The sequence below is a fragment of the Homo sapiens genome, chromosome 10 (assembly GCF_000001405.40).
Source record: "Homo sapiens chromosome 10, GRCh38.p14 Primary Assembly".
In the NCBI taxonomy this organism is placed as follows: domain Eukaryota; kingdom Metazoa; phylum Chordata; class Mammalia; order Primates; family Hominidae; genus Homo; species Homo sapiens.
The window spans coordinates 95,400,689-95,424,367 of NC_000010.11; the positions used below are offsets into that span (position 1 = coordinate 95,400,689).

A 23,679-nucleotide genomic window follows, 5' to 3' on the forward strand; every position below is an offset into this window, starting at 1 on the left:
AGTCATGCATGGAAGGGCACCACAGTTATAGCTGCAAGGCAAAAGAATCCCCAAAGTGATGCAAAGTAATCCGAGGGACAGGAGATGAACCAGAAAAGTACACAAGGTGCCACTGAACCAGGGAAGACAGAACTCCAAGAAGTGGGTGGTTAAATGTCTCAAAAGAAAAAAAAAAAAAAACCCCAGAAATTGAAGCAGAGGAGGAGGCGGCATTAGATTAGGCAAGAGAGAAGTCACAGGAACACTCTGAGGGAGCAACTTCAGGAGGGCAGTGGGGGTGGGTGCCAGATTGCACAGAGGGTTGAAGGTGTAAGCAGGAAGTTGGGGGAGTGAGTGGGGAGTTCAGCACAGAGGAAGGAATGTACTAGATGGTAATTCAAGAGGTCAAAGGATTAGGGACAAAAAGGTTTAAGCTGGCTGGGTGCCGTGGCTCATGCCTCTCAACATATCAGGAGGCTGAGGCAGGAGGATTGCTTGAACCTAGGAGTTCAAGACCAGCCTGGGCAACATAGCGAGACCCCATCGCTACAAAAAATTAAAAAATTAGCCAGGCACATGCCTGTTGCTTCAGCTCTTGGGAGGCTAAGTTGGGAGGATCTCCTGAGCCTGGGAGTTCGAAGCTACAGTAAGCCATGATCATGCCACTACACTCCAGCCTCAGCAATAAAGCAAGACTCTGTCTCAAAAAAAAAAAAAAAAAAAAAGTTTAGGCCAAGGGAGCCTAAAATCCTGTCAGTGAGAATGAGGCCCATGAGGTAAGGATGAAGGGCATCAAGATGTGCTGTGGCAATTAGTAATTGCTCAGTTAAAACCTGCTTATTGATTGACTATGGACAGGTTCTCGTCTTTAAGAAAGGAACAGGTGCAGACTGCTGGCTGGGGGACTACACTCGGGTGAAAAGGAAGAATGTGAGGACACATGCAAAGTTGTGACAAAGTCAGAGATGTCTGTAAGTGGAGGAGACGCTGTAGAAGTGGGGGAAACAATGACTCCAGCATGCTCAGGTTTTACAACTTTCATTCTCCTCCATGGGGTCGTGACTGCCCACATCCAAATGATTTCAAGGCTTGGTAAGTGCTTCAGAAAGCCTGATCCCTGGCATCATCACCATCAATGTCAAAGGATGTTAAGAACAGATTGGCTTTATGGAATGAGTTCTCATGCTCCCAGAAAATTGCAATGCAAGGCCAAGGATTTGGCAGGAAGCCTGGAAGTGTAGAGGGATTTTGAGTTACCCAAGTCTACCCTTAATGTGGCTCTGCTGAACATTCTCCTCCCACCTGGAAAGGCCTTCTGTTGAATGTGAGCAGAAAGGAGCAGATGAGGCTGAGTTCAAGCTCAGTCTTACATGGTGCTTTAAGATCATGGTGAGGATCACAGACATGCCATACTCAGGGTCAAGGCAGGTGACTCTAACAACAATCACACTTGACTGAAAAAATCAGGCTGATAGTCCATGGATTTCTCCTAAAGCTGCCAGTGTCCTTTTGATCTACAAAATTTAGCCCTGAATTGTTTTACTTGAAAGCTTGTGGTCATGTGACTCATCACTGAGTGGATTTCAATATACAGAGAGCCCCTGAAGAAAAAGTGTCACTTTACATAATGAAAACCCAAAGTGACACTTAACTGTACCATGCAGGTGACAGGGCCAGGTATTGACATCCATATTACAATGAGGGCTTGCTATTTTCTCAGTAGGAAAATGCTGATCCTTCACATGACATCCTGGGGGCATTTCCTCTTAGTCTTTTTTTTTTTTTTTTCTAATTACACAGGGTCTTATTCTCTTACCCAGGCTGAAGTGCAGTGGCATGATCATGGCTCACTGCAGCCTTGACCTCCCTGAGCTCAGGTGATCCTCCCACCTTTGCCTCCCAAGTAGCTGGGACTACAGGTGTGCGCCACCACATCTGGCTAGTTTTTTTGTATTTCTGTGGAAATGGGATTTTGCCATATTGCCCAAGCTGGTCTCAAACTCCTGGGCTCAAGGAATCTGCCCACCTCTGCCTCCCAACTGCCTGCCTCTGCCTCCCAAAGTGTTGGGATTACAGGTGTGAGTCACTGCGCCTGGCCCCAGCTAATTTTTTGTATTTTTTTTTTATAGAGACGGGGTTTCACCATGTTGCCCAGGCTGGTCTCAAAGTCCTGAGCTCAAGCAATCTGCCCATCTTGGCCTTCCAAAATGTTGGGATTACAAGTGTGAGCCACTGCAAATCTAGCCTCCTTCTAGTTTTATACTGTGCTTTAAAATGGAAGGTTCTGGGCCACTAAATAAATGACAATATTGATAACCTCAGATGGGGCCTCTGTTTGAAGGAGGTGGGATAGCTTCCCTTTTCTTCACACTGAGAGCTGGTGACTGAGGATTACAGCAATGCTCACACTTCTCTGCAGAAGAACGATGGCCTCTCTACACCCTATGCCAGCCTCTCTCTCCCAGCCCTTATCTTATTATCCCATCCATCTCCCCAAGGGGACTGAGAGGTACCTGAGAACACCATGTAGGCTTCATTCCCAGATGACTCTCCCTGAACATCAAGCCTCATGGAGACTCAACAAAAATCTGCTACAGAGAGGGAGGCTGGCAGCCCTGGAGTCCCGTCCCCACAGGTGATGGCTAAGCCTTACTTGCTCTAAGAGACTAGAGAGTGCCAACCCAGCCAGCCCTCTCTCTTTCAGGAGCTCCTGAACAAAGCTGTACTACTTCTTTTAAAGCATAAACTAATATTTAGTGAGCACCTACTTTAGGCCCCACTCTATCAAACATCATCAGCAGATCTGTCCCAAAACTCAGAGAAAGCGATAGCATCAGTCTTATTTTAGAGCCAAGGAATAAGCCTGAGCTGCCAGCACGGTGGAGCCACCCTCATTTGTTTTTTTTTTTTTTTGAGACAGAGTCTTACTCTGTCACCAGGCTGGAGTGCAGTGGCACGATCTCAGCTCACTGCAACCTTCGCCTCCCTGTTTCAAGCGATTCTCCTGCCTCAGCCTCCCAAGTAGCTGGGACTACAGGCACGTGCCACCATGTCCAGCTAATTTTTGTATTTTTAGTAGAGACGGGTTTTCACCATGTTGGCCAGGATGGTCTCCATCTCTTGACGTTGTGATCCACCTGCCTCAGCCTCCCTAAGTGCTGGGATTACAGGCATGAACCACTGCGTCCGGCCCACCCTCAAATTTTTACATGTCTTTTCTCAATGCACAAAACATCCTCCCCATTCCTGTCACAATAACACCTCCTCCAGGCTGGGGCAAGGATTACCACCCTTGTTTCCCATATGAGGAAACTGGCTTAGAGGGATGAAGTCACTCACACAGAAACACACAGCTCCAAGAAGAAGGAGCTAGGACCAAACTCTGCATCTCCTAACGTATGGCTGGAGGCCTTTTTTATCTATTCTACCCTTCTTTCAAATTCCCACCAACAGGAAGGAGCCCACAGGAGCCACCTTTTTTTTTCAGAGCCACCACTCTTAGCAACCTCGGCTGGGGCCAGAGAATGAGGTGGGCTGGAGAGTGGCAGCTGGAGGAGGGACAGCCAAGGACACCTTGAGGTCAACCACAGCCTGTCTTGGTCTCAGAGCCAAGTCCTGATAAGGCTGAGAGGGTGTGAGAACCCCATGTCCTCCCCACCCAGGCTCGCCACCAATCACAGAACAGCAGTGGCATGAAGTTGCACAGAAATCATGTAGCAGCTGTTCAGAAAACAGTGGCTTTTGTTATCCACCAATCAGTGATTCTGAACCCTGAAATTCATGAGTGTGTGCAAATCCACAGAAATCATGTGCACATGTTTACACGTGTGGCTTTTTTTTTTTTTTTTTTAGAATCAATCTATTGCCTTCAATAGCTTCTCTCAAGGAGTCCATTAACAAAGAAAAGTTACACACTCTTGCGCCACACTATTAGCAGCTCAAGGGCAGCACAGTTCCCTGATGTAGCCTCAGAGCCCCGTGCAGTGCAGGGTACAAAGGAAGCCCTGAATACAATGGTAAGTGAACCCACAGAGCGCCGCCTGGTAACAGGAATGCACATCTATTAAGTCATGCATCTATTAAGCAGCAGCTCAGTGCTGAGCTGTTAATGAGCGGAATCTCATCTGATCGTCATACAACCTGGGAGGCACTACAGCTTTCCTCACTTGATAGTAAGAAAACTGAAGCCCAGAGACTTAGATAACCTGCCTGAGGCAGCACCAGACCCAGGATTCAAAGCAGAATGGCTACAGGAAGCCACAAGGAAATAGCTACACATTCCCCTTCCTGGGTTCCCTCCCTACTCTGACATGGTCCCAATCCTACACACTTTATCAAAGGGTGAGCTAATTATATTTGTATATGTCTGATTATATTTGCAGTCACTCCCCACCATTGTCAACTCTTGCCACCTGCCACACTCAAGTGCGGTCAGCACAGAGGGCAGCATTGGCATCACCAGGGAGCTGGGCAGAAATGCACATTCTCTTGGCCAGGCACAGTAGCTGGTGCCTATAATCCCAGAACTTTAGGAGGCTGAGGGAGGAGGATTGCTTGAGGTCAGGATTTGACACCAGCCTTGGCAACATAGTGAGACTCCAGCTCTACAAAAAAACTTTAAAAAAAAAACTAGCTGGGCATGGTGGTGCACACCTGTAGTCCCAGCTACTCAGGAGGCTGAGGTAGGAGGATCACATGAGCCCAGCAGTTCAAGGCTGCAGTAAGCTATGATTGTGCCACTGCACTCCAGTCTGGGTGACAGAGCAAGATGCTGTATCAAAAAAAAAAAGAAAAGAAAAGAAAAGGGAAGAAAAAGAAATGCAAATTCTTACTCATACCCACCATTAAATCCAAATCTCTAGGGGGATGGCCTAGGAATCTGAGTTTCGACAAGCTCTCCAGGAATTTCTGATGCCTGCTCAAATTCAAGAAGCAGTTTTCTCACACTGTCTTCTGGGCACTGCTGGTCGGAAGGTTCTCACCTGGACCCACCACCCCAGGGGCATCTACTGGCATTTGGGCTTGCCACCCAAAAAGGAGAGAACTTGCCCATATCTCCCAACCCCTGACTCCTCACATCCAGAAGGGAGACAGAAGCAGCAGAAAGATGACCTCTTCAGAGAGGCCTGCCATGAACACTGCATCTAAAGCTGGACTCCTGGTTCTTTTTAACCCAGAACATCCTGTTCTTATCCATCAAGGCCCTTATCACAGTTCCATGGGACATGTTTACTAGTGTGGCTCACTGGTCTGGTCTGTCCACCACCCTGCAAGCTCCAGGGAGGCAGGAACTATGCCTATTTTCATCATCTTGGTAGTCCAGCAACAAAGAGTCTCCCCAAGACATCAGAGGATCTTGGAAGATATTGCTGATTGAATATCGGGCGGTGACCGGAAGACGGTTTCAACAGGAACAGGGATTAACACATAAATAAATATTTCTCACCTACCTGAAAGGCTACTGAGTCGTTTTTGCTGTTCTGTGATAAAAGAACACACAGTGTAAGTAAGATTTATACAGCACATAGTAAGACCAAGAAGCCCTGGCATAACTCGTTAGGATCTCAACCCTGAGTCCTCACTGTCCTCTGGACTTAGATGGTACAATGTGCATGCAGCCAGCTGACTGCAGGGGTATTAGCGTGGCTCCCATTATGCCAGTGTGGTGTCTCCCAGCCTGCCCCGCTTCCAGATCTACACCAGGATTCAGGGGACTGCCACAATTTTCTAGCTGTTTACATCTTATCTCAAGATGATTCCATCATAGAAGGGAATCCATCCAACCCTCCAGCTTCAAGTGAGCAAGGCCTTATATGACCCCAGTCTTGGTACCTTTTGAGGGAAATGTAATTATAATCACAACCATGACAGTGACCGTCTCCTGAGAGCTTGCTAAATGCCAGGCGCTGTTTTAGCGCTTTTGCAAATAACACTTGTAAACTTTGCAACAACTCTAGTAGTTGGGTACGATTATTCTTTCCCATTGTACAGAGGAGGAAACGAAAGCCTGGCCTTAGTCACTATAGTAATCTGGCTTGTCCGGAGTACAAGAAAAATCCTTAAAAAATCAGCAATGGCCGAGAAACTTCAGATAAGGGGCACAAATCGCCCAAGATAACACTGAAAATCAGCTGGATCTAGAACCTGGATCCCTGACTCCTAGTCCAGAGTTCATTCCAATTCTAGTCATCAAGACCTTGCTGGTCCTTGGCATTGAAGGGTTATTGGTTTCTCACCATCCTGGGCACTCATGTGGAAGGGAAGCCACATCTCCTTTGTGGAGTCCTAATGTGTACGTGCTATGAGATGAGAGTACAAAAATGACCTTTACCTTCCACAGCCGCTAAATATAAAGCAGCCACATAGATAAAAATAGAACATTTGCCAACCCGTGGGTACTGTCATCATTCCCCTTGGCTGCGTTCCCACCCTCCTGCTACAATCAGTGTGAACCAGAAGTAAACAGCGAGCAGCTCAGGAGCTCACAGCCTGGGAAGCGGTGCCTGGCCACCTCTGCCACATGGATGAGGTTCGTACTGGCTGAACATGCAGAAGCCCAGTGCAGCTCTGGCCTCAGCTCTGCCAGCAACTTTCAGATGACAATGGCCAATTCACTAAACCTCTCGGCCTCAGTTTCCTTGTCTGTTATGTCAAAGGGCCCTATTGGTACTAAGGGGACCTACGGTTCCCACACACTACACTGAAGGCTGCTGAGCTCCAGCTGGCAGAAGTGAATGTATTCCACTTAAAAGATCATGTTGCCAACATGGCGAAACCCCATTTCTACTAAAAAATACAAAAATTAGCCAGGCGTGGTGGCACACGCCTATAATCCCAGCTACTCCAGAGGCTGAGGCATGAGAATTACTTGAACCTGGGAGGCAGAGGTTGCAGTGAGCCAAGATCGTGCCACTGAACTCCAGCCTGGGTGACATAGAAAGACCCTGCCTCAAAAAATAAATAAATAAATAAATGAAAAAGACCACGTTGGCCAGGCACGGTGGCTCATGCCTATAATCCCAGCACTTTGGGAGGCCGAGGCAGGCAGATCCCTTGAGCCCAGGGGATCAGGACTAGCCTAGGCAACATGGTAAAACCCCGTCTCTACAAAAAATATTTTAAAATTATCCAGGTGTGGTGGCACACGCCTGTGGTCCCAACTACTGGCATCGAGAGGCTGAGGTGGGAGAATCACCTGAGCCTGGGAGGTTGAGGATGAAGTGAGCCATGACTGCACCACTGCACTCTAGCCTCAACAACAGAGTGAGACCTTGTCTCAAAAAAAAAAAAAAAAAAAAAAAAAAAGACTATGTTGTCTCCAGTTTTGAGGTGTGAAATAGCCTTTCTTTCATAGGATGACATGCAACACAGGTAACAGTGGCCACTTTCTAGTGGTGTTATTTTAAAGCATTAGAATGAAAAACCCTAGGGTGATCCCTAGACTGCTTCATGTGTCCGTAAGTCTGGGAACCTCTGAGCTCTAGTTCTCAATGTGGTCGGTGGGCCAGTGGCACTGGTATGCCTAGCAAGCTTGCTGAAAATGTAGAATCTCGTCTCCTCCACCCCAAACCTCTTGAGGCTGAACCTGCAAGTTAACAAGACTCTCAGGATCCGACGCACATAGACTGAGAAGCCCTAAGCAAGGGGACCCACGCACCTCTTTTCATCCTGAGAGTTTTCTGATTCAAAGCCTCCCTCCCAGACAGATGGTAAGCGATTTGTCTTCATACCCATGTGGTGTGAAAACTCAGGAAAGAAGGGGAAAGGGCTGTGTTGTTCACAACCATCAGTACCAGGCCAGAGGCTCAGTGCCCCTCTGTTTCTAGTAGGGGTAAGCTGGCTTGGAGAGACAGGATTATTGCCACACTATGCCCTGGGACAGTCTAGGCAAAAAAAAAAAAAAAAAAAAAAGGGGGGGGGGGGCAGGGAGGGAGGCATTTTTTAGGATGACAAAACTAGAATTCCAGAAGTGGAGTAAAGTTATTCCCTCAGGAGACTTTGCAATAATTAAGAAATTATTTTTATGGGTACTGTTTATGAAGCAAAGCAGAGCTGCCAGGTTAGGCAAATTCCAAAGCAATGCCAAAAACACTTGACCTAAACCCCATTTATGATTAGTAATACGGGGCTGGGCCAGTGAGGCTCTTCTCTTCTTCCTGATGCTTCCTGCCCCACCTGCTTAGTGAACATATGGTTTTGCTCTTTATGGAAATCTATCATTTAATTCCAAAAAATGAATGTCATTACTTGTATCCTTTTCTGAAGGATGTGTGTCTCAGGCTGCACAATTCTGATTTTTAAACCCAAGGGCAGGACTTGGACAACAGAGAAAGGCAAGAACCAAAGGCATTTGGGTAAATAAAAGGAATCCATCTATTCAAGGAAGAAACAAAAAGGAACTACAGGCATTTCTGTGCCCAAAGATGTCTCACTAGGTGTCATCAGAGGGACTTGGCAGAAGCAGCTGACATTACACTTGGCATTTCCCAAAAACCAAGTTGCCTTGGGAATAAATCCCATTTTTAAAGAAACTGCCTGTCCTTCTGGGAACTAACTTAATTCTGTTTGACTGAATTTTTTTTTTTTTAAATATGAGTCACAAGGAAGTTCAGAGAAACAAAATTTCACTTTGTCCCACATTACAGACACTTTCTGGGCAAGGAGAGCCACTGCCAGTAAGGGGCATGGCACCGCTGAAGGAGAATGGGCTCCTGCATGGTTCCGTGTGGGAGCTGGGGCCCTTTTTATTAAGAACCCAGATTCATGGGTGAAAATTAATACAGGAGCCACACATAGTGAAAAAAATACAAAACTACTAAAACAACCTTAAGATTTTAGTGGAAAGATCTGAAGTGAAAGAAAATGTTTTATTCATCTGCTTTTCAAGTTAGAAGCAGGAAACAGAAAAACTCTATTTAGTAAGGAAAACAATTAAAAATAGACTCCAGTCCCATTCTCATTCAAATTAATGCAGAGAGGAAGGGGGAGGGGGAGGAGTGGAGGAAAACTGTGAAGTCAGAGAGCACAGAGTCAAAAGGAAGACGTGAGCTCTGAACAAAATAATTAAACCTCCACTGTTATCAGAAATTCAGACTAACAAGCCCTTTCTACATGAGGAAACAGCTTGAAAACTTTACATTTCATGCTGCAAAGGACTTTTGTAAAGACAAAGTTTATTCCTGTATGGAATTCCAAAAAGGAAAACTTGGGATTTAGAATCATCGTCTGGAATTTTAAAGCAGAAGGGTCAACATATACCCAAAGAACTTCCGCTTCACCCCAACTCAAAGCTTCTCTGCTTTTCAGAGAAGCAGAAAAACCAACCAGAAGCAGTCAGAGACACTACAGAAAACAAACATGAAAACTCTAAGCAGAGCTGCCTAGAGCCACATAGTACAGAGACAAACAGCTGGCAAGAATGAAGGCCAGTGAGTCTTCAAGAAAAATTCAATAGTCTCTGTTTTCAAGGTACAAAAACGTGTTTTACATTCCAGAAAATTGTCTACACAATATGTTTTCTTTTTTAAATTTGATACTCAAAATTCTGCTCTCTCTAAATTTCATTATGTCAAAAAAATAAATCATTTAAGATACTACTTAAAAGAGGTATTATTGTACCTAGATTTTCGAAGTTAAATCTCTATTACCATCAAGAGACACAAACTTTTTCCTTTCTCCTTTTTTTTGGTGTTACGATTTGAAGAAGACAATCATGAACACCCAAGAAGTGGAACGAACCCAGCTTACTTATTCAGACACCTGATATCACCTCAGATCAGGGGCCTCTGTCTGTCTGCTGGGATTTATTTTATGGGCCATGAGAGTGAGTAAACTGGGGCAAATGGCCTTGGGAAACAATGGGATTTGTGAAAATTTCTGTGAAATAACAGAATTTCTGACCCAAGTATCATGGAATAGCTATGTTGATTCCAGTGGGCTGGGAGTGGGGCACAAGCCTCTCTTACCTCGATTGTGTTGCAAGAGCACAATAGTAGGATTGACAATCGTTGTGGAGGGATAGGCGGATGAAGGCTTGCTAACTGATGGAAAGGCTTGGGAATCAGTTCCAATAAGGGAAGAAGAAACTTCATTTAGTAGAGGACTGGAATCCTGAAACGAACAAACAAACAATGTAACTAACTGTAAATATAAAAAGCTAGTGTTAATGTTTTTTAAAAAGAAGAAATTTAAAGCTTTACAATGATCTTAATTATAAAAAGAAATGCAATCAATGAGATACATCGTATCATTAATTCCAGTTAGAAGTTTAAGCCGGAATGCTTATCCTCTTTGTTGGTATTAGTATGGGGCGGAGGAGAGAGAGAAGGTGAATGTTACTGCAAGTCTCAGCAACATCATTCATTAGGTCCACCTGTTAACAGTTGTGGGTCAATCTGGTTACTGAAAAACCAAATTCAAATCCAAGTAGAATAACATGCAAAACCCATGCAATTCCAAATGCGATCCAAGAACAAGAGCTGGTTTAATTGGGAAAAATCAGGGAAGTTTAGTACACTGTACAGAGAAATGTAAGACAATGTGAGGACAAGAAGACATCAATGTAAGAACAGGGAGGAGTTGAGCAACAGTTTTTTCAGAAAGCTACTCTTAGCATCAGCATCACCGAGCAATTTTACTGATGCTTGCTTCTGAGATTTGGAGATTATCCTATCCTACTGTGACATTTTTTTCACTCTAATATTAAAGTGACAAAGATCCCTAAGACTTGTGAGAATCCTGACTTTAAAAACCTGAGGTCTCTGCCAGAAATACCAATAAAATTATTAATACTAACATTATAATCTGCATATTGGGGATAATGCCAGTCTTTTAAAACAAAATAAGACCCCAAAAGGTACTAAGAATATTTAGACAGTTTCCTTCATGATATCTATACATTTCTATTTTTGAGTTTATAAACCATAAATTGAGGATGCTCTTCTTAAAAGGCTTTAAGAACAAGATTTTAAATAGTTACTTTTGAGGCAATAATTATCTTGAAGCAATAATCAAAGATCAACTCCTGTGAACGTACCCACAAGATGAGGGCCACCCCCTCACTCACACCTAGCCCAATGCCCTGCAGATAGCAGGTGCTAGTAAATGTCACGTGACTGACAGGTGGGATCTTTCAGCAATGTTGTGTCTGAGCAAATGTTTGTAGCAAGAAAACAAATGCTTATCAAAAGAGGATATGGGCATCAGCACCCAGGACAGCTCCCAACACACAGTAGGAACTTCACAACACTGCCTAGGTCAGTCTATCTCTTCTGAAAGTCCACTAAATAGCCGCCGCTATTTAGTTATGAGGGGCAGCTCAATGTCATGAATAAAACCTTTTCTCAAGACTTGAGAAGCACAGTATGATTTTATACAAAAGTGCCTCACCTTGATTCCTCCATTTAGAAAGTGAAAAATAACTACACTTTTCCTAATTTATCTCCAAAGTGATATAATTATGATAAATGACATATCATTAAAAACTGCCTGAATGCATCCAAGAAACACAAAATATCAGGCATACAGCTCTTTAAAGTATAAATGCCTAATGTGATGTTTGGGTGGATCATATGAGCATTAAGCACTTTACAGATTTTATTTTGTGTCTTATTTCTGGAACATCACAAAAACAGCTATTGATTAAAATAACTCAAATCAATTAACATGACTTTTATTCTTCCTTCTTTCTCTCAACTAGCTACAGATGGAGCAGGCATCAGCTCACAGCTCAGACACCATCCACAGAGGCTCCTCCTCTTGACAGAGGAGGAAGAGGAATCCAAGTAGTTTCCTTTTTCACCTCTGTTACCCAGGGCCAAACCCGAAGCTATCAGGCCAAACTGAGGTCCTTCTGGGAGGTCTACACCAGGCTGATTAGTCAGGTTTGAGAAACTGAGGACCCTGTCCCAACGAATCTGTCCTGGTACACCTAAAACCAACTCGATATGAAAACCTAGGTCTACACAAATAAATTATAGAATACACAATCAAACTACTCACAATGGTCTATGAGGACACTAAACATAAGACACCTTACCTGCTACTCCAGGCAAACATAATCTGTGTCAAAGGGAAGATGCTTGAACTCCCCAAAACAAGAGTGGCTTCTAAATTCTAAGTTCAGCTGAAGGTAGACGGGAATAGACCAGGGAAACATCTAGCATTTTTCTTCAATGGGACTGAGCTGCGAAATTCAAAGCTAGAAGGATATCCAAGGCCGTGGGTCACATTGGGCCTGGTGCTGACCTAACTACACTGCACAGCACTAGAGATTTCAGAACAGGCCCCAGCTCAGGATGTAACGGTTCCCAGCTTTGATGTGTTTGATGCCTCATTATAATTTATCTAATAAGCCAAATGAAAAGTTTCCTTCCTGATTTCTGCATGACTGGCTTCAGCTTAACAAGCCATTTGGAACAGTTTTGCAGGCATACATCTTTACACAAAGGGATGTCAGTAAACGCTTAGTTCCATCAGCCAATTGCATGACCCACTACATGACTGTATCTCAAAATGTAGGGTGTGGACCCCAGCATCTGAAACCCCTGAGCACTTGCTACCAAGTGAGATTCCTAGGCTCTTCTCCAGACCCACTCAGTCAGAAATTCTAGGAGTATAACCTGAGGGTGACGATTTAAACAAGCCTCCCTGACCCTCAGATGATCCCATGTACACAAAGCTTGAGAAGTGACCTCCTACTCCAAAAATCCCTTTGAGAACAAGACCCTGACTCATGGTTGTACCCAGGGTACTTAGCAGAATGCCTAGACCACGGCAGAAACTCAATGATGAATTGTTAACTAACCAGTTACTTGCTTTTGAGTGACCCTGGCCCTCATTTGCCAGGGTAAGTCCTCAGCAACATAGCTAACATTCACTAGGCACCTTCTCTATGTCAAGCTCCATAACAGGAACTTTTACACTCGATCCTACTGAACCCGAAGCCCTGTGAGTAGATTCACGTATTCCCATATTACAACTCGCAATGAAGTTATCAGATTCTCTCAATTCCCAGGGCTCCTAAGGAAAAAGGAGACCCAAGCACTTTGACTCAGCTTTTTCTCTAAGCAGTTGGGCTTTCCCGGCTGTGATGGGAACTCATTCCCCCACCCACAGGATGGGACCTGAGGCAGCAGGGCCCTTTGACTTCCTGTGACCACTGGGGCACTGTTTTGTCACAGAGGCTCCTGGGACCTTCTCCTCAGGGGCCCTAGCAATTGCCTGCCTTTTGAGGTAAAAGTCCTAACATTTGTACAGGGCTTTCAGACCCACTTGCTCACTTAAACCCAACTCTCTCACAAAAAAAAAAAAAAAAAAAAAAAAAAAAAAAAAATCCTAGTCTCTGTCATTTCTGTATACTACAGAGAGTTTATTTACTCACTAGGTCAACAAGAGAATCAGAGAATCGCTTCCTCCCCGAGATCTCCCCGCTCCCTGGTAAGTAGCACCCACCACGCCTGCCGTTGCTTTCCCCCATAATTCTTAGCTTTCCTCAGCTCACCACACGACCCCCGACCTGGCCTGTGAAAAGCATGGCCAGTCAACATAAAGGCCACAGATGTTGTCTTCTGAGGGAGAAAGATGTGCATTCCCAACAGGACAGAGCAGATGAGGCACTGCAGAGATGGGGAACAGCCCCGAGAGACCCAGGGAAGACACACGGGAAGCATGCACGCTAGTGACAGGGGACACGGCTCCAGTCATCACACAGGCACAGCGGCAGCCAGTGCTGTCCTCAGAGCTCAGTGCTTCAGTGAGAAAGGGAATGTGACTGCTGGGAGGAGACATTCAGAAAAGCCGTGAGGAGGGGAGTCCAGCAAGCTTACGGTACTCGAAACAGCTCCCGTGAGGTCAGGCTCCGAGACTCTGCGGAGGTCCTCCGGGGCAGGAGGGACCAGCGGAGGTGGTGGTGAGAAGGATGGTGGCGTCTGGCTAATGGGGGCAAAGGAGCCAGAGGCGCGGGCTGGCTGGCTGTGGTGGGGCCACCTCTGCAGATGAGGGGGAATGAAATCATCTAGAGTCGGGAAGGTCAGAGGTGAGGCGGCAGAGGCAGTCGCTGGGATTGTGGGGACGCAGCCAAGAGGCCCCAGAGGTGTTGGAGGTCTGGCAGTGCCTTCTTGCCCTCTGTCAGTATTAACCAGGTAGAGAGGGACAACTATTACCTCCGGCTGGGCTGCACTGGAGGAAGTGGCATCCTGTGGAAATAAGGGGGTCGTTATGGAAAGGGGTATGATACGAGGAAAGAATTCCATATTTAAACGGTTGAGAGTGGGCATGCAGTGAGGTACTCTGAGAAATATTTAATCAGTGCCCTTTCCTCAGAGTACATGAGACAGTCGGAGCTGGCCAGCTGGCCTTCTGACACTCCATGACACAGAGGGAACCCCATCCAACTCCGCTTTTCATCCATCTATTTTTGAATCCTTTTAACACTTTATGAGAGAGAAAGAACAGAACAGGCAGGCAGGCTGTGTTTAACCCCACAACACCACCATAGAGCCTAAAAGCTTGGGAGTAAATACAATTTCTTTGGCACCTTGTAATAAAACATGAACAATGAGTTTCTCACCATGTTATTAGTCTCTGGATTCCACGCTCCGGCATACTTACACATTTACAGAAAAGAGAGACAGACAAAGAGAGTACTGTGCTGAAAGGTTCAGACAGAAGAATTCGGGACTCAAGCCACAACAACATTAATGAGGAAAGGGAGGGTAGGGCAGCCCAGTGAACAATGAGCTGCTCGCATCAGTTTTGAAAGAGACAGTAGAGAAGACACACAAACATTCCTAATTTCTTGCCTTGGCTGGATAACTCGGCTGCAAAAGGTAAGATTCTTTGCTCTTCCGGTTTTCGGGATCAGAGGTAACCCGGGGGCCTAGCACAGGTGGTCTCACATCTGGGAACGAAGCCTGAGTCCCCAGGGAAGGACTCTCGCCACGGTTAACGGCATCTTTACGGATGTCAAAGAATAGCTTGGGAGGGTCAGGAGGAGGAGCAGGGGGTGGTTTTCCTGTGCCGGCTGTGCGGGAGACAAGGCCGGGAGCCGGTGCTCGGGTGCCCGCAGCCTCCAAGGGAGTGCCTTCGGCAGGGTCACGTGCAACACGAGAGGAGTTTTCTGACGCCGCCAGGCAAATGTTATTGGATAAACAAGGTACATATAAGCTGCTGACCTTTTTAATCCCAACTGCCTCATGACATGGGTTAGAGCTCACATTCTTATGATAAACTGTCCTGGTGGCTGCATAGCGCTGCTGGGGTTGGGATGAAGCACTGGGGAACGTGGAGTCCGGAAGCAAGGAACCAGGGCACACCACACCTTTGGGAGCCGATCCAGCTGCCAGGAGGACAGAGATAGGCTGGGGTTGTGAGGGGTTCTGCTGTCTGGGGGTGCCGAGTGGGACATAAGGCTTTGGTGAGCTCAGGTAGAGGGAATCCTTATAGGTATTGTGGATGGTGGGGGACTGCCATGCAAAGCGGTCCTTTTGAGGGAGAGGAGGGCGTGGGGGAGAGAGAACCTTTAGCAATATTTTCAAGATATGTTATCAAACAGGGAAAAAAGAAAGAGGAGGGGAAATGGAAAGAAGGACGATCATTAGAAACGACAGCATAACATGATTCAAGCAAAAACAATTCTTAACACGTTTTTCAGCACATCCTCAGGTTAGACTCCTCCTAGTATCCACAATTCTAAGTGAAGCCAAAGACTGAATCCCACTCACCTGGAGAGGTAGGCCTGACTCTCCTTTGTATCCAGAGAGGCTGAGCCCAGCCCGTAGCAGGCCACATGCTACATCAATTGTGACACCAATCCTTGGCTGACTGCATCTTTATTAGACATCCTGACTCAAGAAGGGAGCCAAGTGAACTAAACACCAGTGGGAGAAGCACCAAAGCCCCCAACTCCCTCTCAAACCTCCTTCCCTCAAGATTTATCTTCGAGCCTTTGGCCTTAGAAGTTTATGTTCACTGGAACTCTTTTGAGTGCCTTTCATTCTTTTCCTTTAGGAAAAGGAGAACTGGAAGAACCGTCCTTATTTGTGTTCACAGGAGACAGATGTCTTAATTGAGTCACTGAGATTTAGCACTCAATTCCATAAGCATAACAAATTAACGTGCCCTAAGAAGAGAATGCTAAGGATTTTTGAATACACATGTGCTCTTTTCTCAGAGGAAAGAATTTGATGAAGCTAATTATTAGAAGGAAGACAAGCATGAGATTAAAAGCACACAGTCTCCCATTTTTGATGTACACAAAAAAGGGGACCAGGCAATGAAGGACTGAATTGGCCTCTACCGGATTGGACTGTGCCTAGTTTCTCAAAATCTAGCCCCATGCCCATCTCACCCAGCCCACCACCACACAAAGGGAATCAGCCCCAGAGGTAAATGATCAGCCTCAGATTCACAGCTTAAGCCCAAAGCTCTGGTTGCAGGTCCAGAGGCTCACACAGCATCCCTCTCTTCTCAACACTGCTCCTCTTTGGGTCTCAGTGGAGAAGAGGGTCAGGAAATGGGATGACCCTCCAGTCTGATCCTCATGTCAACAAGAGTCATCTGGCAATCTGCGGCTCAACTGGGAATTAGACTATGAGATGAGGAAACTGCATTTTGCTAGATTTTCTTTTCTTTTGTTTTGTTTTATTTTGTTTCGAGATGGAATCTCGCTCTGTCACCCAGGCGGGACTGCAGTGGCGCGATCTCGGCTCATTGCAACCTCCGCCTCCTGGGTTCAAGTGATTCTCCTGCCTCAGCCTCCCAAGTAGCTGAGACTATAGGCACATGCCACCATGCCTGGCTAATTTTTTGTATTTTTAGTACAGACGGGGTTTCACCGTGTTAGCCAGGATGGTCTCAATCTCCTGACCTCATAATCTGCCCACCTCAGCCTCCCAAAGTGCTGGGATTACAGGAGTGAGCCACTGCACCCAGCCTAGGTTTTCTTTAATGGCTCCTTTTTTTTTTTTTTTTTGAGACATAGTCCCACTCTGTCACCCAGGCTGGAGTGCAGTGGCACAATCTAGGCTCACTACAACCTCCGCCTCCCAGGTTCAAGCAATTCTCCTGCCTCAGCCTCCTGAGTAGCTGGGACAAGCCCATGTCACCACACCCAGCTAATTTTTTGTATTTTTAGTAGAGACGGGGTTTCACCATGCTGGCCAGGATGGTCTTGAGCTCCTGACCTTGTGATCCACCTGCCTCGGCCTCTCAAAGTGCTGGGATTACAGGCGTGAATGGCTCCTATTTTTAAAGATATCCCAGTTCTAGAAGAAAACCAGAACTTTCCTCCAAATTACGCAAGTGAAGTATATTAGAGTCTGATCAATATCGGTAAGTGAATTTTGACCAAAAATGGGGAGGGTGCAAGATCTGGGTCTATTTTGAATTTATTTTTAATTTTATTTCATTCTTTTTTTTTTTTTTTCCCGAGATGCAGTCTCACCCTGTTGCGCAGGCTAGAGTGCAGTGGTGTGACCTTGGCTCACTGCAACCTCCGTCTCCCAGGTTCAAGCAATTCTCCTGCCTCAGCCTCCTGAGTAGCCGAGACTATAGGCCTGTGCCACCACACCCGGCTAATTTTTGTATTTTTAGTAGAGACGAGTTTTCACCATGTTGGCCAGGCTGGTCTTGAACTCCTGACCTCAAGTGATCTGCCCGCCTTGGCCTCCCAAAGTGCTGGGATTACAGGCGTCAGCCACAGCGCCCGGCCAATTTTATTTCATTCTTTTTTTTTTGAGACTAAGTCTCGCTCTTGTCACCCCAGCTGGAGTGCAATGGCACAATCTTGGCTCACTGCAACCTCCGCCTCCCAGGTTCAAGCTATTCTCCTGCCTCAGCCTACTGAGTAGCTAGGATTATACATAGGTGCCTGCCATCACACCTGGCTAATTTTTGTATTTTTTTTAAGTAAAGACAGGGTTTCACCATGTTGGCCAGACTGGTCTCGAACTCCTGACCTCAGGCGATCCACCCACCTCAGCCTCCCAAAGTGCTGGGATTACAGGCATGAGCCACTGCACCTGGCCTATTTCATTCTTATATTTGTGGCATACAGGTGGCAAGAAGAAAGAATGTTAGAAAGGGTGAATAGGTGAAAAATATTTAAAAGTTTTATAGGTTGGGCACTGTGGTTTAAGCCTGTAATCCCAGCACTTTGGAAGACCAAGGCAGAAGGACCACTTGAGTCTGAGACCAGCCTGGGCAATACAGCGAGACTCTGTCTCTACAAAAAATTTAAAAAAGAAATAGCCAGGTGTGGTGGCACACACCTGTAGCCCCAGCTACTAAGGAGGCTGAGAAGGGAAGATTGCTTGAGCCCAGGAGGTCAAGGCTGCAGTAAGCTGTGATGGCACCTCTGCACTCCAGCCTAGGTGACAGAGCAAGACTGTCAAAAAAAAAAAAAAAGTTTTTTGAGTCCAGATTAGAACATCAACCCAGAAATAGTAAATAACCTATTCCTTAAACTCAGTTTTCAAGGCACACATATAAGCTCATTGGACAAGCAGCTCATTTGGATATCCTTGACTAATTCAATGCCTATCCTTTCCACAGGGCACCCATGGCAGTGCCAGTGAATATGCACCAGCCAAAAAAAAAACAAAATGAATAGCCCCTCTCTAGTATTCAGCAACAGCAAAAGCTTTCAGGTGAACTCACTTGGTTTCAGTGAACATGTTTACAGACTAAACGATTCTAGAAACAAAACACGTGGGCTAGCACGCACCAAAGGGACTGGCGGGTATGCTGATAATGGCAGTAGGGAGGTAAGCAAAAGATCATTTTGATTTGAGCTCAGATTTACTTTTACTTTCAGCTCAAATGTCCCATATGTGATTTCTTCTTGTCCAAAGATAGAAATCAGCTTCAGTGAGTTTCTAACTTATTTTGGCTCTCGCCATATATGGTGCATTACATCAGGCATGAGCCTTCCCAGGGCTTTGACCCTGTAGAGAGGACGCTTCCCCAGAGCATCAACAGTGCACTCAGATCCAAAGGTCTCCTGCCCTGGGGCTTCTTTTAGTCCTGAAGAAGAAAGGGGATAGGCACAGTGACTTTACATGCAGGGAACTACTTTTTGTTGTAAACATTGTAGGAACCACACAGGCAGTCTGCATTCTGCCCAGTTGGCTATAAATGAAATTCTATTTATCTTTTCAGAAGGTGGGTCAGTGAAAATATGAGGCTTCTGGAAAATCCTGGTATGTTTATAGTTTATACAGTTCTATAAACTACCAATTCCCTCCTCTAAGCCAGTGCATACTTACAGCTCTGGCAATCACTATATAGACAAGAAGTCATGTTTCCATTCAGAAAACACACCTAAGAGGTAATGCATGACCTAAAGGTTCCTGAAATTTGAATGGCTGATTTTACATTGAATATAAAGGATAAAACCTCTTTATGAGCAATTTACCAAGTTCCCTTAAAAGGGAACCCCAGTAGAAAGAAAATTCTTGGATAGTGACAGATAAGAAAACATACTTTGTAAAAGATATTATAGGGTGTTCACCCTTATAAACCTCTTGAGGGCAATGTTTCACACAGTGATCTGAACACCACGGAGATGCTCAATAAAGCTGTGTTAAATAAATTTTAAAAGAATTTTTATTTACTTCACATGCTTTTAAAATTGTCTTTTCAAAAGAGCTGCTTAAGAAGCCAAAAAGAATTACTGAGTTACCCTTTGAACTAAGTCACTGATAGTGGAAGAGGACATGCTTCTACATTTGCTTTGAATTAATCAGCACTGTTTCTTGATCTGCATAGAGCTGATGGCATCCATTCTTGAGATGGTTGAAAAGAAGTATGTCTGCCACAGGCAGCACATTTATACACTGTGAAAGGGTTTAGGGACGGGAAAACCATGGCAAGTCATTTACCGGACAAGTGACCTCCCCAGTCCCTCTGTCTAATGAAGACTTCAAAAAGCCAGGCTCATTCGCAGCTCCTGGTTCTAACCAGTGACCCAGGATGCATACGGCTGTACCTAGGGAGGCAAGTCATAGCAGGTGGCAGAAAGGCTAAATGTGTTTGTTGCTCAGCATACAAGGCAGACAATTAAGCAACCAATTCCACGCTGAGGAGGATAAGCATCTGTAGAGAGGGAGAAAAACATCATCTCTGATTCAGCTTCATTTCAGCAGCAAGTGCATTTTTACATCCTCACAACAGGAACCAGAGGATCATTGGAGAAGTGGGGTGGGAACTAGGAAGGACCTGCAGAATTTGCGGACTCCTTGTGAGTTCGGGGAACACCTTCACAGAAGGAAGGCACAGGGAAGCGGACCACACAAGGAACACATTTCTGCTATAGTTTTTGAGCAGCACAGCTTCCTTTAAGAGAAAGGACTAGGCTAGGTGTGGTGTCTCACACCTATAATCCCAACACTTTGGGAAGCCAAGGTGGGAGAATGGCTTGAGGCCAGCCGTTGGAGGCTTCAGTGGGCTACGATGACACCATTGCACTCTGGCCTGGGCAACAGATAGAGACCCTGTCTTAAAAAAAGAGAGAGGAAGAGAGAAAGAGAGAGAGGGGAGAGAGAGGGGGAGAGAGAGAGAGAAGTAGTAGTCGACTCCACAGATGTGGCTCCTGTATGCAAAAATGTTCATCACAGATCACCTAAATTAAAACATGGTCTATTCCCATCATCAAAATGACAAAGTAACAACAGGAGAGGGAAGAAAGAAAAGATCAGGAAAGCCACCTAGGGGGAAAGACTTAAGCAAAAGTATCCTTACTCCAATTTGTACAGCTTTGGGGGATTTCTTTTGTAGGATACAGCTGGGCTGTACTGCCATTTTGCCTGTTCCTGGGCTGCTGGACTTAGGGTCTGGCCACAGCTACCTGATCTTAATCTGTAAGGATACTGTTGCTGGAGTTCTTACAGCCCCATCTCCAGAAAACAACTGGAATAAACACAAGATGCATTCTTCTCTTGAATATTACACTCTAAAGAATTTTTTTTAAAAACGTCTCAGACCTTTTTCCTACATATCCAAGGCTAAATGAATTCCCTCTTTCAGAACACTTCTACATACAGAACAAACCTAAATAGGCATCAAGGCCTATTTCCAACACCCTGGTACAGACCAACCTCATTCCATGCCTCTGCTCCCCTTGACCCCAACTTTCCCTTAGCTAGGTCCTTGCAGAGCTTATCCAGAGTTGTCCAAAAGCTTGAAACCTATTCCGTTATCCAACTGGGGAAGCAGGAAGTCACCAGTCTAAGTTAAGAGACTCAAGAACAGGTACCACTCACCAGTCCCCACCCTGCCCTTGGGCACATGCCTACCTGGGACTTGTCAGAAGGAAGGTTGGGATGCACACTTCTGTAGCCCTTGGCAGCGAGTGAAGAGGGCTGGGCATTTCCATTGGCATCAGCACTGGAAGAAAGCCTCCACTCATCTGAGAAATAGAGAGGAAAAAATCTCTCACTCACAGGGAATAACTCCCTGGTTCCCCTGTAACTCCGGGGTCCTTGGTAGAAGGCCAGAAAGGTGAGAATGCAAGAGAAGCCATACCTGCTGAAGAAGGCTCTGGCTCCAGACCTACACGTGGTGCAGAAAGGATGAAAACAAGAAAAGGGGAAAAACAGAAATGGTTACATTTGCAGGAAACAAGCATGAAACTGCATAGAAGGTTGAAAATCCAGCACCCCGTTGTTTGACACAAAATGCCCTCAGTCACGATGGCCTGATTACCATAGGAACCCACTCGAAACCATGATGTGCTCACAGGCACTGACCTTTGAAAACACAAGGCTCACATTCACAGGGATGAAGAAACAATTGTTACTTGACATTCTTATTTTACAGACAAAAAGGCAACAGAATTCTCTACTGTCCAGTCCCTACTCACTGACTCTCATTCCCCTTCCTTGAGCCTGCTGTGGGCTCAGAATGACCACTCCCAACCAACTAACAGGCCCAGGAGAGAGAGAAGTGGATAAACACTTTTTCCAGGGGTGCTGGTGCTGGGCTAAGGGGCAGCACATGACTTAAGCTGGGAGGTATCTGCTGCGATAAAGACTTTTTTTTCCTCCCTGCCTGCTTTTCTTCTTTCCATTAAATGAGGCACATAAACATTTCAAAATCTAATCACCCTTCCTGAGTGTTCATCACATCACAAAGCACCCCTGTCTCCCTTCAGCCTTCCCAGCCACTGCCTGATGCATTTCAGAGACCCTAAACCTCTAGTCTGATCCACATAGCACATAGCACCATGAGGCAGCAGAGTGCAGTGGTTACAAGCCCGACTGGAAAGGCAGCTGGGCCTCAATTCATATCCTGGGTCTACCACCTAAGGGTTCTATGACCCTGGGCAAGTTATAAGCCTCAGTTTGCCCATCTGAAAAATGGAGATAATGATATGCCTGTTTTATAAGTGTTGTTAATAAGAACATTTATGCATGCAAAATGCCTACCACAGTGCCTGGCAAAGCTCAGAAAATGTTTGCTATTTATCATCTTCTGTATCATCTCTTGTCTCTACTCTCTGTCCTTGATCTAACCCAGGGGTCCACAGACTTTTTTCTATAGAGGGCCAGATAGTAAATATTTTAGGTTTTATGGGCCATATGGTCTCAGATGCAACTACTTGGCTCTGCTATTGTAGGACAAAGGCAGCCACAGATGATATGTAAATGAATGAGCATGGCTGTGTTCCAATAAACCTTTATTTATGGACACTAAAATCTGAATTTCATAAAATTTTCATGTGGCATACAATACCATTCTTCTTTTGATTTTTCTTTCAACCATTAAAAAATGTAAAAGCCCTTCTTAGCTCGAGGGCTGTACAAAAAAAGGCACAGGCCAGATTCCGCTCACAGCCACAGTTTGCCAATCCCTAATCTAGCCAAGCCTTAACCCCTTCTTTTCCCAGGCTGCCTCCTCTTGCCTCACCATGTAGAGAAAGAGGGACTAACACTGCAGTCTCACTGCCCAATCCTCCGTTTCAATGTGGGTCCCTCAGGTGCTAGACATGGGCTTTCCAGATGCCAAGTTGAGATTTACAGACATTTACTGAACACCTCTCTAAGTGCCACTGTGAGTCACTGTTACGCCCATTTAGTTTTAGTTCAGTGTACACAACAACTCTGTGAAGTAGGTAATCACTCTCCTTCATGGATGAGGAAACAGAGAGGCCAAATGACTTGCCCAAAGTCGCACAGCCAGGAAGTGACAAAGCAGTCAGCCCAAGTCTCCAGAATCCAAACCTAGCACTCTGCCTACCACCCCCACAGCCACCAGCCTCCCCATCGGCCATGAAGTGGATGCTATGCTTCAGAGAGGTGGTGGGAGCCAAAAAGAGCTGGAGCAGAAGGCAAGGTAGGGTAAAGGTTCCAAGTGATTGGCATTCACGTATAGCAGTGGTGTAGCTGCATCAGGGCTTGCTGAAACACAGGTGGCTGGGCCTGGATCCTGGCACTTCTGATGCAGTAAGTATGAGGTGAGGCCCAAGAATCTGCATTTCTAACAAGTTTGCAGGTGATGCTGAGACTGCCAGTCCGTAACCGACACCTGGAGAACCACTGATGAGAGGTACACTCAAAAACGTCCTTATTCTGGAAAACTAGCTGTATCCATTTTATTTTTTCCCCTTTAAAACAGTTTTAAAATTTAGCTACATATTCTTTTAGCAGGTTGCCTGTTACATTTCTGCCACTTCCTTACAGACAATTCACTGCCATTTGTCTT

At 45.5% G+C, this 23,679-nt stretch overlaps 1 protein-coding gene across 79 annotated transcripts in view, besides 2 other annotated features; it reads right to left on the bottom strand.

Moving 5' to 3' along the window:
• The window catches only part of SORBS1 (sorbin and SH3 domain containing 1), a 249,599-nt gene that overhangs the window by 88,916 nt on the left and 137,004 nt on the right, over positions 1-23,679 (bottom strand). For 30 of the 79 annotated variants that reach the window (NM_001384455.1, XM_047424479.1, NM_001290295.2 and 27 more), the window contains 4 exons: positions 21,502-21,528; positions 21,273-21,385; positions 9,945-10,089; positions 5,430-5,459 (listed from right to left, as the gene is read on the bottom strand). In NM_001384455.1, coding sequence (NP_001371384.1) covers positions 5,430-5,459; positions 9,945-10,089; positions 21,273-21,385; positions 21,502-21,528 — 315 coding nt within the window. Of the gene's footprint in view, positions 1-5,429; positions 5,460-9,944; positions 10,090-13,805; positions 14,175-14,780; positions 15,498-21,272; positions 21,386-21,501; positions 21,529-23,679 lie in introns of all 79 variants that reach the window. The other 49 variants (NM_015385.4, XM_017015523.2, XM_047424473.1 and 46 more) reach the window with 5 other exon arrangements.
• Positions 18,605-18,684: a silencer, noted in NCBI's record as "silent region_2645". NCBI's record gives its function as "represses an Ori minimal core promoter by ATAC-STARR-seq in GM12878 lymphoblastoid cells {active_cell/tissue: GM12878}" and the evidence as "EXISTENCE:reporter gene assay evidence [ECO:0000049][PMID:35858748]".
• Positions 23,188-23,237: a silencer, noted in NCBI's record as "silent region_2646". NCBI's record gives its function as "represses an Ori minimal core promoter by ATAC-STARR-seq in GM12878 lymphoblastoid cells {active_cell/tissue: GM12878}" and the evidence as "EXISTENCE:reporter gene assay evidence [ECO:0000049][PMID:35858748]".